Here is a 14,038-nt window from a genome sequence, read left to right as displayed (position 1 = left end):
GCACACAAGATTTGCTTATTCTATGTCAGCTATTATTCATTATAAACTACTTTAAACTCTTAGCCAGGTGGAGCCACTAGGGATTTCTGAGCAGGCGGGAGCAGCGGGGAGGGGGGCGGCGAGATAAATGAGGGCCTCCAGGTCCCAGCTGGAGTAAGACCCCCACTTTATTTCCTCTTCCTAACCACCCAGCTCCTGGGGCATACAAAGGGCTCAAAATACATATTCTCTGCATGCACAGTATCTAGACCCTCTGGCATCCTCCTCTTCCCCCACTCCCCCATGCCTCACTCTGTCACCTGGCCTCGCTGTGGGCTCAGGGGCGCAAACCCTGCACGTGCACTGCCCTGCAGCCGGCGTTACACAATCCGCATTTCTAAGGCAGCCGTGAAACCTGTGTCGCTGTAGGCGGGGGACCGCAAGTTGCCGGCGGGTACCTGGCTGGACAGCATCCTGATTCAAGTGTTTCGACACGGAAGGGGCGCAAGGGCACGGGAGCCGGGGCAGGCTGGGGAAAGGGAAGCTGAAAGGCTGCTGGGGGAGGGGAGTAGCGGAGCGAGATCTTGGGGACGGCGCGGAGGCGGCGCGTGACACGGAGCAAGATGCTATCTGGGTGGGCGAGCTGCAGTCCTTCTCCAGGAAATGGGGGAAACAGGGCTGCAGGACCCCAAAATCCTCTCGGCACTGCGAGGGGCGCCTAAGGGCTGCTGCGGGCGCAGGGGGTGGGGAGGCGAAGTAGAAAGAGGGTGCAGGTCCCGACCCGTCCTCACTCTGTCCCCCGGCTTCAAGAGGCTGGCTGGACCCAGGAAATGGGGCGCCGGGTTTCGGGCATCTCAAACCTATCCAGGCAGCGGGAGGTGGGGGCAGCGCCCGCGCGGGGAGCGGAGTGGAAAGGCAAGTGCAGATCGCCGACTCTTTCCACTCGATGCGCCGCTGCAGGGAGACACTGGGGGAGAGGTCACGGGGCCATCAGGGCGCCCCATCCCCCTAGGAGCGCACCACCGCCCGCCCGCCCGCCTCCGCTCACCTGACCAGCCTCAACCGCCTGGGTCCCGCCGCCGGGCCCGGACCCCGGCCCTCGGTCTCTAGCCCCGGGCTGGGACCTGCCGCCGGGCTCCTACCCGCGCCGCTCCCAGCTCCGGCGCCCAGCCCAGCTGGACTCCTTAAAGGCGCAGCGTGCCGGTTCGCGTCCTCCGACAGAAAAGCCGCCCCGCCCCGACCCGGCGCCGCGCGCTGTCCCCCAGCGGCCGCGCTCTGTTTGGGGGCTCCGGGGCGCTTATCCCCAGTTCCTCCGCGCGCTGCCTCACAGCGTTAAACCCGGAGGGTACAGTTAGCGTCTCGCACAACCCAACGCCGGCAACTGTCTCCTAGCACCCGAAAGCCACGGCGAGAGCAGGATCGCCTACAGAGGTACCGGGGGCGGAGCCCGAGCGCCCGGTCCCGCCCCCGCCCCCGCCCCCGCCCCCGCCCCGCCCCGCCCCGGAACGCACACGGTGGCGGGGCGCGGGGAGGGCCTCTGAGCCCGCAGAGCCACACACAGTTCCACATCCCCGGCCCGAATTCTTCCCGGCACTGTTTCACTTACTGAGCACCTACTGTGTGCCTGGCGCGGCTGGGCATTAAACCCGCCAAAGTGACTCAGGCAGGATCTCTGGATCTCTGCCCCGAAGGGCATCAGAGAGAAAGGGACAGGCAGGGGTTCTCAGGCAGCAAAGCAACACTGCTTGACATCGGTTGTCTCACGTAATCCTATGAGGTAGGCACTGGGGTCGACTTCTTTTCTCAGAAGACACCGAGGCTCAGGGAGGTGAGGGGCTTGCCCTGGATAGTCCAGGAAATGGGAGAAATGGGGGCGCAGGAGCCCCCAAATCCTCTGGACACTGCGAGGGCTCCACCCCAAGGAACACCGTAGGCGCTCATGCTCCCGCCCTGGCTCTCGGGTGTTTGGAGACAGTTGCCGGCGTCGGGTTGTGCGGGACGTCAGACTGTAAGGACTGAACTGGGAATTCCAACCGAGGATCGTCTGACTCCAAAGCTATACGGGAGAAATGGGCACCTGGAAAGGCCTTCGGCCACCTCTGGTTAAACCCCTGCTATGGTCGTTTCTTTCTTTTAGGGACAGTTAAACCCCAGCTTGGCCTGGCTACTCTTCCGTGTTTTCCATGTCTCAGTTTAGCTGCCACTTCCTCCAGGAAGCCTTCAGTAAGACCCCTTTGGGCTCACACTGCACTGTGGGCTTCTTTCATCAAAACATGTATTCGTTCATTTAACAGATATTTACTACACCTGTTAGGGGCCTTAGTGGCACCCAGATCTTCCTGCTGCACTGAGTGCTTGGCCTGCCACTCCAGACGTCAAGGGGCCAGGGCTCAGCAAGACTCTCTTGGCCGTTTAAATCCCCCACAAAGGCAGCCTTTGGGCCTCAGCCTGCCAAGGCCTCCACGCTGGTGGAGCCTGGCTGAGTGGTGCAGGTCCTGGGTTTTAAGAATAGGACACAGTCAAGAAGTCCCGGAGAAGTGGCAAAGGGGCATCTCTGAAGCCACTAGTGATCCCCATGCCTGTAAACCCTGCTCTGCAGGGCAGCTGGAATTCATCCGGAGTTTGGGACAGTCCCCCTGGCTTGGGCTGGAGCATTTTCCTTTAAATTGTTGGCTGCCTTATCACTTAGACTTCAATGGCTGCATGTGATTCACTTCAGGGAATGGCCCCCGAGTTTCAGTGGCAATTTATTCACCAAACAGCGGGTTGCTCAGTCCCACCTCTCTGGCTTTATCTCTCCTTACGGCTGAAGCAGAACCTTTCCAAGCCAGCAGTCCACCAACATCCCCAGAGCAGGTCCACAGAGATAGCACAAAATGTGGGGATTAAATGTCCTTCAGTCACTACTGGCCACCTATTGGATTAGCATCTTGGACTCAGGAACATTCACCAAAACAGGAGTCCAGGGGGTGAATAAATAGACAATGAAATTGATGAATGACTTCCTGGAAGGCCCCAGCCTAGAAGCCATCAATACACCTGGTATAAAGTTTAAAACAATTGCTCCTTAGTCTTTTAATTTTCCCTCTCCAAAACCTTAAAAATGGGTAGTTCATCAGTTTGGTGGGTTTTTTATTTAACTCACAGCCTGTGACCCTGGGCGTCTCCAAGGGCCTGGAATTTCTATATCCCGAGGGTTTTTTTCCCTCAGAGTTTTATATTTAGAAACACCTTTTTGAGCCCCATGTGGGAGTCACATTCTGGGTGACTTATCTCCACTGGATGGCTGACAGGAGAGAAACCTTATTAGCTCCAGTTTTACAGTGAAGGAGGCAAGAGGAGATAAGGGAACTCACCTCCGGCCCCTCCCTGAGCCGGTGATACCCCTGAGTGCTGTCACTGAGGAATCCCACCTAGGTGGGAGACCAGGGAGCAGTCCCAGGGGCCTGGTACTTTCCAGATGGCACCTTTAGTCATCCCAAATAGAAACTCCTTATCAGTGGACAGGTCTCACCCTAGCATTAAGAAAGAGTTTTGAAACCTTTCCTCTGCCAGCAGTTGCAGCAGAACACTCCAGGATTCACTCTGCCATGAAGCCTGTACATGTCTCCTGGATGCAGCAGCACAGCTATCAGAGCTGAAGGATGCCATTATTTAATGCGCACTTACTACCTTCAGCCGCAGGGCATCAAATCACTTAGTCCTCACAACACATAGTGAAATATGCTCACCTGTGAGTTATACTAACCCACTTTACAGACACACCGAGGTACAGAGGGGTTAATGGACTCACTCAAGATCCCACAGCCAGCTTATGGCAGGGCCAGCGGTCAAAGGAGTTCACTCATTCATTTATGTAGCAAACATTACTGAGAACCTACTACATACTAGGTACTGTCTGGATGAACAGAGACACACTTCTTGCCCTCAAGGACTTAGAGTCTATTTATAATAATAAAATATTAGAAGCTATTTAATCAGGGAATCACACACAAGCTGTGAGGGAATCACACAAAAGCCATGTCAGCACATGGAAATGTGTGCAGGAGAAAAGCAAAAAACACAAGATACCATGTGTACACAGACACCAGCTGGGCAGCACCCCTGAGCTTATGAGTCATTCGTACCATCTATTCCCCAAGCATTTGCTGTGTGACAACTCTGAGCCAATCCCTGAGGCCTCTGCCCAATCTGGAACTCCAGTATCACTGCCTCCCAGCAGCCTTACCTGACTATCCAGGCAAAATTAATTTTTCCATCGTCCACACCCCTGTAGCACATTATACATGACGATATGTTTATTTATTTAGGCAACTCTCAACTCCACGGAGTTGTGAATTCCTTTTCCACTTCCATCTCCCCAGGGAAAAGCATGATGAGTAGCACAGAACAGGCAAATGTTAATTAGCTACCATGTGTTGAGCTTTTCCTGTGTTCCTCACCTTGTGCTCAGTGCTTTACAAGCATTATCTCATGGATTCCTCCCAACCACTCTGTTATTAGCCCTATTTTACAAATGAGGAACATTTTGAGGCTCAGAGAGTTTCTGAGCCTCAAATCTACCCAAATGTGTTAAATCACCTATCCAAATATCTTAGTCTGTGTGTGTGTGTGTTTTGAGAGAGTCTCACTCACTCTGTCGCCCAGGCTGGAGTGCAGCGGCACGATCACGGCTTACTGCAACTTCCACTTCCCCAGGTTCAAGCAATTCTCCTGCCTCAGCCTCCTGAGTAGCTGGGATTACAGGCATTTGCCACCACACCCAGCTAATTTTTGTATTTTTAGTAGAGACAAGATTTCCCCATGTTGGCCTCTTAGTCTGTTTTTGCATTGCTGTAAAGAAATAACCAAGACTGGGTAATTTATTAAGGAAAGAGGTTTAATTGGCTCACAGTTCTGCAGGCTGTACATAGTGCCAGCATCTGCCTCTCATGAGGGCCTCAGGAAGCTTACAATCACAGTGGAAGGTAAAGGGGAGCCAGTGTGTCACCAGGCAAGACAGTGGGAGCAAGAGGGAGCAGGAGCAAGAGACAGTGAGGGCAAAAGAGAGTAAGAAAGGAGGTGCCACGCTCTTTTAAACAATCAGATCACATGTGAACTGCCAGACTGAGAACTCACTCATCACCAAGGGGATGATGCTAAGCCGTTCATGAGGCGTCTGCTCCTGTGATCCAGTCACCTGCCAGACTCTTAGTAACAACCAGCTCTTCTGGGAAATAATAGAATGAGAACTCACCCACCACCCCTACCTACCAAAGGGCATTAATCTATTCATGAGGGACCTGCCTTCATGACCCAAACACCCCCATTAGGCCCACCCCCATACTGGGAATCACGTTTCAACATGAGATTTGGAGGGGACAAGCATCCAAACCATATCACCAAGGTCACACAGCTAGTCAACGATACTGCCAGAATTCAAACAAAGTTTTGTATGTCTGAGCACAAAATCTATATTCTAACCATTCAGCCACCTGCTGCCATGACAAGTAATGGAATTAAATAAGAAGAATACAACAAAATCTCACCTTAAAAAGCTTGTACTGAGCATTTTATGAAGTAATAACTTTTTTAGGCTAAAAATATTTCTTTCCAAATGCCTTAAAATATTGCTTATTCATTTATTTGTGAATTAAATGTTTACAAGCATTTACTTATGCATAGGACCCAAGCTATGGTAGATACAATTTTACCCCTTCCTTTAAGGAGAACAGTCTAAATTATATACACCTGAAAAAAAGAACATCAGTGCAAGAGTTAAGTAATAAGAACATATCACAAGACAACAAGTCAACATATGTCAACACATGTCATATGTAGTATATAATCATAGAAAGGACTCACTAATCAGGAAGTTCTAAGACTGTAATTCCTACTATATTGATTCATTCACTGAAAATGCCAGTTGAGCATAGCACTAGGCCAGAGAGTGTCCTGGATGGGAAGGAAAGGGAGGACTTTGAGAGATCAGTGTCACTGCACCTGCAGCACTCTGATAAGCTCAGGCTTGCCAAGCACCTGAAAAGAAGTGGGAAGATGCTGTAGTTTGAATATGGTTTGTTGAACCTCACCAAATCTCATGTAGAAATTTGATCTCCATTGTTGGAAGTGGAGCCTAATGGAAGGTGCTTGGGGCATGGGGACAGATCCCTCATGAATAGATGAATGCCCTTTGACAGGATGGGGTAGTGAGTAAGCTATTATTTCCCGTGAGAGCTGGTTGGTATATAAAAAGAGCCTGGCAACTCCCTACTCTCTCTTGCTTCCTCTTCTACCGTGTGATCTCTACACTTGCATGCTCTGCTTCTATGTCCACTATGAGAGGAAGCATACTGAGGCCCTCATCACATGGCCAGTCTTGATCCTTCCAGCCAGCAGAATTATGAGCCAAATAAACCTACATTTCTTTCTTTCCCTCTTTCTTTCTTTTCTTTTTCTTTCTTTCTTTCTTTCTTTCTTTCTTTCTTTCTTTCTTTCTTTCTTTCTCTTTCTTTCTTTCTTTCTTTCTCTCTCTCTCTCTTTCTTTCTCTCTCTCTCTTTCTTTCCTTCTTTCTTTTTGACAGCATCTTGCTCTGTTGCCCAGGCTGGAGTGCAGTGGCACAATCTTGGCTCAATGCAACCTATGCCTCCTGGGTTCAAGCAATGCTCCTGTCTCAGCCTCCCGAGTAGCTGGGATTACAGGCACATGCCACCACACCCAGCTAATTTTTGTGTTTTTAGTAGAGACAGGGTTTTACCATGTTGGCCAGGCTGGTCTCGAACTTCTGACCGCAGGTGATCCTCCTGCCTCAGACTCCCAAAGTGTTGGGATTACAGACGTGAGCCACCGTGCCCAGCCTAACCTTATTTCTTAATAATTACTCAATCTCAGGTATTCCTTTATAGCAACATAAAATGGACTAAGACAGAAGGTGATGGAAATTTTCCAAAAGATTAACCTGGACCTTTAATAAGAGGTGAGGGATACTAACACCCAGAATGATTGGGACTCCACTGCTAAAGACAGGAAAAGGTTAATGTAAAACCAAATTAGGATAAAAATGATGAATGCAAAAGGAACGGAGCATATGGAATGTTAACAGATGGCAGAGGGAAAGCCAAACTACCGGTTTCCTATATTACATCATCTTGATCATGGAAAAAGATTTGATCAGGTGAAAATATCACAAAGAGGGAAACTGAGCTCAGGATAGGAAGAAAAGATGGAGAAAGAGCACACAAAAATTTAAATTAGTTCAAATTACCAGATCAAGAGAAATTACTGCCCAAGATACTAAAAGGATATTTAGATCTGATCTTAAGAAACATATTCAGTGATCTTTGATAAATTATGCTAGAAGATTTTAACGAGTGAGAGTCCCATTTCAAATAAAGGAGAAAGACTGATAAACAGATCTCGAGACCAAGAGGTATGGTGTTGATTTTTAGCAAAGTTCTGCACCTGATTATTAAACTAAAACAAAAGAGGTTAAGTACAAGAGCTCATTTGGGTTCCCTGTGAATGATCACACCAAAGGAATAATATTTCACAGTTACTAGCATAAATAGACCTGGAGACTGTTGCAGGAAATTGCATACAGAATCTTGACTGTAGTAGGCTTTGGACAAAGCATTTTATAATCTGTTTATGGAGAAGATGAAGTAATTTAGACTTCGAAATATCAGTTTGGTGAAGTCATAGAAGGTTAAACAACAGTGGCCCAATTTTGTTTAATCTGACAAAATGAGACTGAAAGCAATTTTTTTTCCTTCCTTCCTTCCTTCCTTCCTTCCTTCCTTCCTTCCTTCCTTCCTTCCTCTCTTTCTCTCTCTTTCTCTCTTTCTTTCATCTCATTATGTTGCCCAGGCTGGTCTTGAGCTGCTGGCCTCAAGCCATCCTCCTCCCTCAGCTTCCCAAAGTACTGGGATTACAGCCCTGAGCCACCATGTCCTGCCTGGAAGCAATTTTCTAATAAAATGCTGTAGTTCTCTCTCCTTGAAATTTTTTTTTAATTGAGATGAACACAAATTCAGACTTCTCATTAAATTTTAAATTAAACAAAGCTAGGAAGAAAATTGAGATTCAAAACTGCTTCAATAATTTGGAATACGCCAAAAACATTATGGTGAAATTTCACCATCCCACCTTTAAGCTTTTAAAATCCAAATTGGAGGCTGGACACAGTGGCTCATGCCTGTAATCCCAGCACTTTGGGAGGCTGAGGTGGGCGGATCATGAGGTCAGGATATCGAGACCATCCTGGCCAACATGGTAAAACCCTGTCTCTACTAAAAATACAAAAAATTAGCTAGACGTGGTGGCATGTGCCTAAAATCCCAGCTACTCTGGAGGCTGAGGTGGGAGAATCCCTTGAACCAGGGAGTCAGAGGTTGCAGTGAGCCAAGATCATGCCACTGCACTCCAGCCTGGCGACAGAGCAAGACTCCATCTCAAAAAAAAAAAAAAAAAATCCAAATCGTATCTCAGCATATGGTAGACCAGATGCAGCCTTCTCAACTCATCTCTATTCTGGATAAAACAGACTTTTTCATATGTTGGGCTGACATGTATCAAAATAAGAGTAGGGGGCAGTAAGCAACAAATAAATGTGAAATGCAGTGTTGTCCTGAGAACAAATGTGTATATCGTACCCATAAACAATATTGGGAGACTAAACTTGGCCAGCTGTAACTTTGAGGAGCTGAACCTGAAAGCTCCATGTTTAGCCGGGACCCTCAAATGAGCTATGGCAGTGCCAGATGCTGGTGTGACTTCACTACAAGCATGTTCAAAGAAGGATGTTCTCTGTAAACCACCCAAGATTCTCATAGATCATAATTCAACACATACGAGCTTATTGAAAGAAGCCAGACACAAAGAAGCAGATACTGTATGAGCTCACTCGATAAAGTTCAAAAACAGAACAACTACTCTAAGATGTTAAAAATTAGAAGTGGTTGCCTTTGGGGGGAAATGACTGGAAGGGGGCTTGAGGCAGATATCTGAGGTGCCAGTAATTATTCTATATCTTTATCTGGGGTGGTAGTTATGCAAGTGTATTCACTTGTGCAAATTTCTCAAACTATATACTTACGTGCAATTTTCTATATGTATGTTATGCTTAAATACAAATATATTCTTAACAATAAAGTCAAAACCAATATCACCATCACACACAAAGAAATGAGTCACAATGAGACAGAAAGAGAGAGAGAGAGAGGAAGAAGGTCAGCAGTAAGGGCAAACAACAAATTTACAGTCCCCAAGTTTCTTTGTATATAAAGATATATTTCTATGTATTTATTTAATTTGCATTAATTTCTTTAACTTGCATAAAGAAATACGTGCAAATATTTAGAATTTTATAATGCAAATATATATAATTTTATAATTATATTTGCATATAGAATTATTAGATTATAAACTATGTATGTAATGTTAGCACAAATAAAAGGTGGAATCACAAAAATTAGTAAACAGCAGTATATTTCTTAAATGATTAGACATGTTTTTAAAGGAACAAATAGAAATTTTAAAAATAAAATATCTATTTTGTAGTTGAAGGAATAGATATCAAAGAACGTGAAAGATATTCATTCTTTCTTTGATCCATCCTTACCCAAAGGATGGGTGAAACAACAGGTAAGACACAGCTAATGAGACAATTGATTTGGTAGCCAGATCTGAAGACATTCTCCAGAATTCAGCACAGAGTGATGACATGACTAAATATGAAAAAGACGTTATGGAATATGAAGGATAGTCTGAGAAGGTTTAATATTTATTTAATTAGTGTGAAAGATGGAGAGAAGGAAGGCGAGGCCATATTTGAGGTGGAAATGGCTGAGAATTTCTAGGGCAGGAAATAGAACGTGACTCCACAGATTTAGGAAGTACAACATATCTTTTTTTTTAACATTTCCATAGGTTTTTGGGGAACAGGTGGTGTTTGGTTACATAAATAAGTTCTTCAGTGGTGGTTTCAGAGATTTTGGTGCACCCATCACCCAAGCAGTGTACACTGCACCCAATGTGTACAGTCTTTTATCCCTCACCCCCTTCCCACCCTTTCCCCGAGGCCCCAAAGTCCATTGTATCATTCTTATGTCTTTGGATCCTCATAGCTTAGCTCCCACTTATGAGTGAGAACATACGATGTTTGGTTTTCCATTCCTGAATTACTTCACTTAGAATAATGGTCTCCAATTCCATCCAGGTTGCTGTGAATGCCATTATTTTGTTCCTTTTTATGACTGAGTAGCACCCCATGGTGTATGTGTGTGTTTATATCACACTTTCTTTATCCACTCATTGACTGATGGGCATTTGGGCTGGTTACACATTTTTGCAATTGCGAATCGTGCTGCTATAAACATGCGTGTGCAAGTATCTTTTTCGTATAATGACTTCTTTTCCTCTGGGTAGATACCCAGTAGTGGGACTGCTGGATCAAATGGTAGTTCTACGTTTAGTTCTTTAAGGAATCTCCACACTGTTTTCCATAGTGGTTGTACTAGTTTACATTCCCACCAGCAGTGTAGAGGTGTTCCCTTTTCACTGCATCCACGCCAACATCTATTATTTTTTTATTTTTTTTATTATGGTCATTCTTGCAGGAGTAAGGTGGTATGACACTGTGGTTTCGATTTGCATTTCCCTGATCATTAGTGATGTTGAGCATTTTTTCGTTTTTGTTGGCCATTTGTATATCTTCTTTTGATAATTGTGTATTCATGTCCTTAGCTCACTTTTTGATGGGATTGTTTGTTTTTTCTTGCTAATTTGTTTGAGTTCCTTGTAGATTCTGGATATCAGAACTTTGTTGGACAACATATCTTTATTTATTTATTTATTTATTTATTTATTTATTTATTTATTTATTTGCGACAGGGTCTCTCTCTCTGTCACCCAGGTTGGAGTGCAGTGGTGCAATCATGGCTAACTGCAGCCTTGACCTCCCAAGCTCAAGCAATCCTCCCATCTCAGTCTCCCAAGTAGCTGGGACTACAGGCGTACACCACCACTCCCAGCTATTTTTTTTGTAAAGACTGGGTCTCGCCATGTTGCCCAGGCTGGTCTCCCAACTCCTGGGCTCAAGCGATCTGCCTGCCTTGGCCTCCCAAAGTGCTAGAATTACAGGTGTGAGCTGCTTCACCCAGCCAGGAAGCACAATCTATCTAAAGGAGGGTAAATAATAAGAAACATTGTAGTGAAACTGCAGAACACTAAAAACAAAGAAATAATCTTATAAGCAGCTAGAGGTTTTTTTTTTTTTTGGCAGATTACTCACGAAAGAAGAAATTAGATTGTCGCCAGATTTCCCAATGGCAACAATAGAAACCAAAAGATAGTGAAACAGTATCTTCAAAGACCTGAGAATTGGATACCCAGCATTTTAATAATGAGGGTGAAATACAAATAAAAACTAAGATAATTTGACTAACTTTTTTTTTCCTAAGAGACAGGTCCCTTACAGTAATAGGTTCCCAGCTAGAGTGCAGTTGTACCATCATAGCTCACTGCAGCCTCGAACTCCTGGGCTCAAGGAGCCATCCTCCTGCCTCAGCCTCTCCAGGAGCTGGTACTACAGCCCTGTGCCTCCACACCCAGCTTGCACTTCTAAGATGTACTTCAGAAAAAAGAAAAATTATCCCATTAAGAAGAGATGGAAGGAGTGAAAAAAATTGGTAAGTATAATAAATCTAAACAAAATTGTCAGTACAAAAAAATAAAAATGAGAACAGTAATATGTAATTTGTGAGTTTAGGACAGAATTAAAGAACAGAATTAAAACACTGGGCAAAAGTAAATTAGGAAAGAGGTGATTGGAGTTAAAGTGTTCTGAGCAACTTTGCATTTGTGTGGGAAGGGGATGGAGATTTAACTTTGGTCTTTGTCAAATATATGTGGCAAAATGTCAATGGTCGTTATGGGGGCCGGGCGCAGTGGCTCACACTTATAATCCCAGCACTTTGGGAAGCTGAGGTGGGTGGATCACTTGAGCTCAGTCTGGTCTACATGGTGAAACCCCGTCTCTACCAAAAATACAAAATTAGCCAGGTGTGGTGGCACGTGTCTGTAATCCCAGTTACTCCAGAGGCTGAGGCAGGAGAATCACTTGAACCCGGGAGGCGGAGGTTGCAGTTGAGCCGAGATTGTGCCACTGCACTCCAGCCTGGACAATGGAGCAAGACTCTGTCTCAGGAAAAAAAAAAAAAAAAAGTCAATGGTAGTTGCTAAAATAATATAAATAAGATATATAACTTTCAAATCAGTAGAAACGGGAAATGACAAAAACCAATAAGAAACAAACAAATACCAATCAACCCCAAAGAAGTGTACAAAAAAGTAAGACAAAAGATAGTAAAAATAAGTCCAGATATATCAATAATCAAAGTGAATGTAAACTAACTAAACTCATCAGTTAGTCAGTAATTGTCAAATTGCATTTAAAAAACCCAAGAGACACTGTTTCAAGAGACACTCCTAAAACATAGGAATTTGGAAAGGTTGATAATTTAGTCAAATTATCCTCTATGTTTGGTGTTTTTTATGTCTTAAGAAATTCTTCCCTACTTCACATGAACCACATGGGTTAAGATTAGGGGAGATACAGCACACCAAGGAAATGGGGATTGAGTGCCACCTTGGGAGTAATGGCCACTGGGCTGGCCATAAAACAACAAGTGGCAGGACAGAGGCAGAGACACTAGCTCCACACGTTCCAGTCACTTGAACATATCTCAGGTGAAGATGGTGCTAAATTGTAAAGTCCTGTTCTGCTGCTTATTAGATATCTGACTACCTAAACCTCAGTTTTGGCTGGGAGCGGTGGCTCACACCTGTAATCCCAGCACTTTGGAAGGCCGAGGCAGGTGGATCGCCTGAGGTCAGGAATTTGAGACCAGCCTGGTCAACATGATGAAACCCCTTCTCTACTAAAAATACAAAATTAGCCAGGTGTGGTGGCAGGTGCCTGTAGTCCCAGCTACTTGGGAGGCTGAGGCAGGAGGATCACTTGAACCCAGGAAGCAGAGGTTGTAGTGAGCCAAGATTGTACCACTGGACTCCAGCCTGGGCAACAAGAGGAAAACAGTGTTTCAAAAATAAAATAAAATAAACCTCAGTTTCTTCATCTATAAACAGAGGATGATGATGAGGAATTGATAATAATACCAACCTCACAGGACTTCAGAGAAGATCGAGCTGAACAATGCCTTTAAAAGTTAGCACTACACCTGGCACAGAGGCATCGTGCATCGTGCTAGCTCTCAGCATCATTGCTGTTTATACACCAAGCATTTTTTGAGCTCACCCAGTCCTCAGAGGGCCTGAAAACTACCTTTGAATAATTGAAGGTCAGTTGTGAAAGAGATTATGAAGACCCTAAATGCAGGTAGGGAATCGATGGGTGACAGCTGCCAGCGGGTGTTTGCACGTGTGTGGGAACGTAGGGTCGAGTTTTTCTTGCTAAGAAAACACACATTTCTCCAAGGCTTCTTGCTGAATGTCTCACAGGCTTCATTTCAGCATCTGTATCACCCATGTCATTGCACCAAGACCTCTCCCTGTTGACTTTCCCTGGTTTCTCCTGGGGCCTTTATGTACCCCACCATTTAGCCCCTTGAACTTGAACATCTGAATGAAACTTTCAAAGATTCATGCCACATTGTGCCATTTAATCATGATGCTTTCTCACTCACCTAGTCTATCAGAAGGACAATGCATCCTCATCTGTTCCCATCTCTTCTCTTCTCTGAGCTGCTGAGGTCAAGTGGGGAGCTGGGTTATCCATGTGTATGGATGGATAAAAGTCTGGTTACCCGTCAGGCAGTGACCTAGTGTCTAGGTTGGGATTCTGTGGACTGGGAGTATGGGGTACCCAGTGGGGGCAGGAATAGGAGGAACCAAGTTTTCTTATCTCTTTCCAGGGGCACAAAAATGGTTGGGAACAGACCCAAAAGTCAGAAGTGGGATGCAGGTTGGAACAGAGTAGGGAGAGATGGGGCAGGCAAAGCTAGAAGGAGAAGGTGGCGGTGGAGAACAGACCCCGCCTTCCTGTTAGTTCTCAAAGGGATT

The 14,038-nt window shown here is 45.5% G+C and overlaps 1 protein-coding gene across 4 annotated transcripts in view, besides 3 other annotated features; it reads right to left on the bottom strand.

The window, feature by feature from the left end:
- The window catches only part of ABHD6 (abhydrolase domain containing 6, acylglycerol lipase), a 56,943-nt gene extending 55,791 nt beyond the window's left edge, over window positions 1-1,152 (bottom strand). For all 4 annotated transcript variants that reach the window (XM_005265334.5, NM_001320126.2, XM_005265335.4 and 1 more), the window contains exon 1: window positions 1,028-1,152. The gene's annotated coding sequence lies outside the window, so the exon portion shown is untranslated. The remainder of the gene's footprint in view (window positions 1-1,027) is intronic.
- Window positions 802-1,741: an enhancer, noted in NCBI's record as "H3K27ac-H3K4me1 hESC enhancer chr3:58222930-58223869 (GRCh37/hg19 assembly coordinates)". NCBI's record gives its function as "activates a minimal SCP1, AML or CMV promoter by ChIP-STARR-seq in naive H9 embryonic stem cells {active_cell/tissue: H9 hESC(naive)}" and the evidence as "EXISTENCE:reporter gene assay evidence [ECO:0000049][PMID:30033119]".
- Window positions 911-1,400: a silencer, noted in NCBI's record as "silent region_14487". NCBI's record gives its function as "represses an Ori minimal core promoter by ATAC-STARR-seq in GM12878 lymphoblastoid cells {active_cell/tissue: GM12878}" and the evidence as "EXISTENCE:reporter gene assay evidence [ECO:0000049][PMID:35858748]".
- Window positions 1,411-1,580: a silencer, noted in NCBI's record as "silent region_14486". NCBI's record gives its function as "represses an Ori minimal core promoter by ATAC-STARR-seq in GM12878 lymphoblastoid cells {active_cell/tissue: GM12878}" and the evidence as "EXISTENCE:reporter gene assay evidence [ECO:0000049][PMID:35858748]".

The sequence above is a fragment of the Homo sapiens genome, chromosome 3 (genome assembly GCF_000001405.40).
Source record: "Homo sapiens chromosome 3, GRCh38.p14 Primary Assembly".
In the NCBI taxonomy this organism is placed as follows: domain Eukaryota; kingdom Metazoa; phylum Chordata; class Mammalia; order Primates; family Hominidae; genus Homo; species Homo sapiens.
The sequence above is the reverse complement of the archived record's forward strand: the minus strand, read 5'-3'. Positions and strand labels throughout refer to the sequence as shown.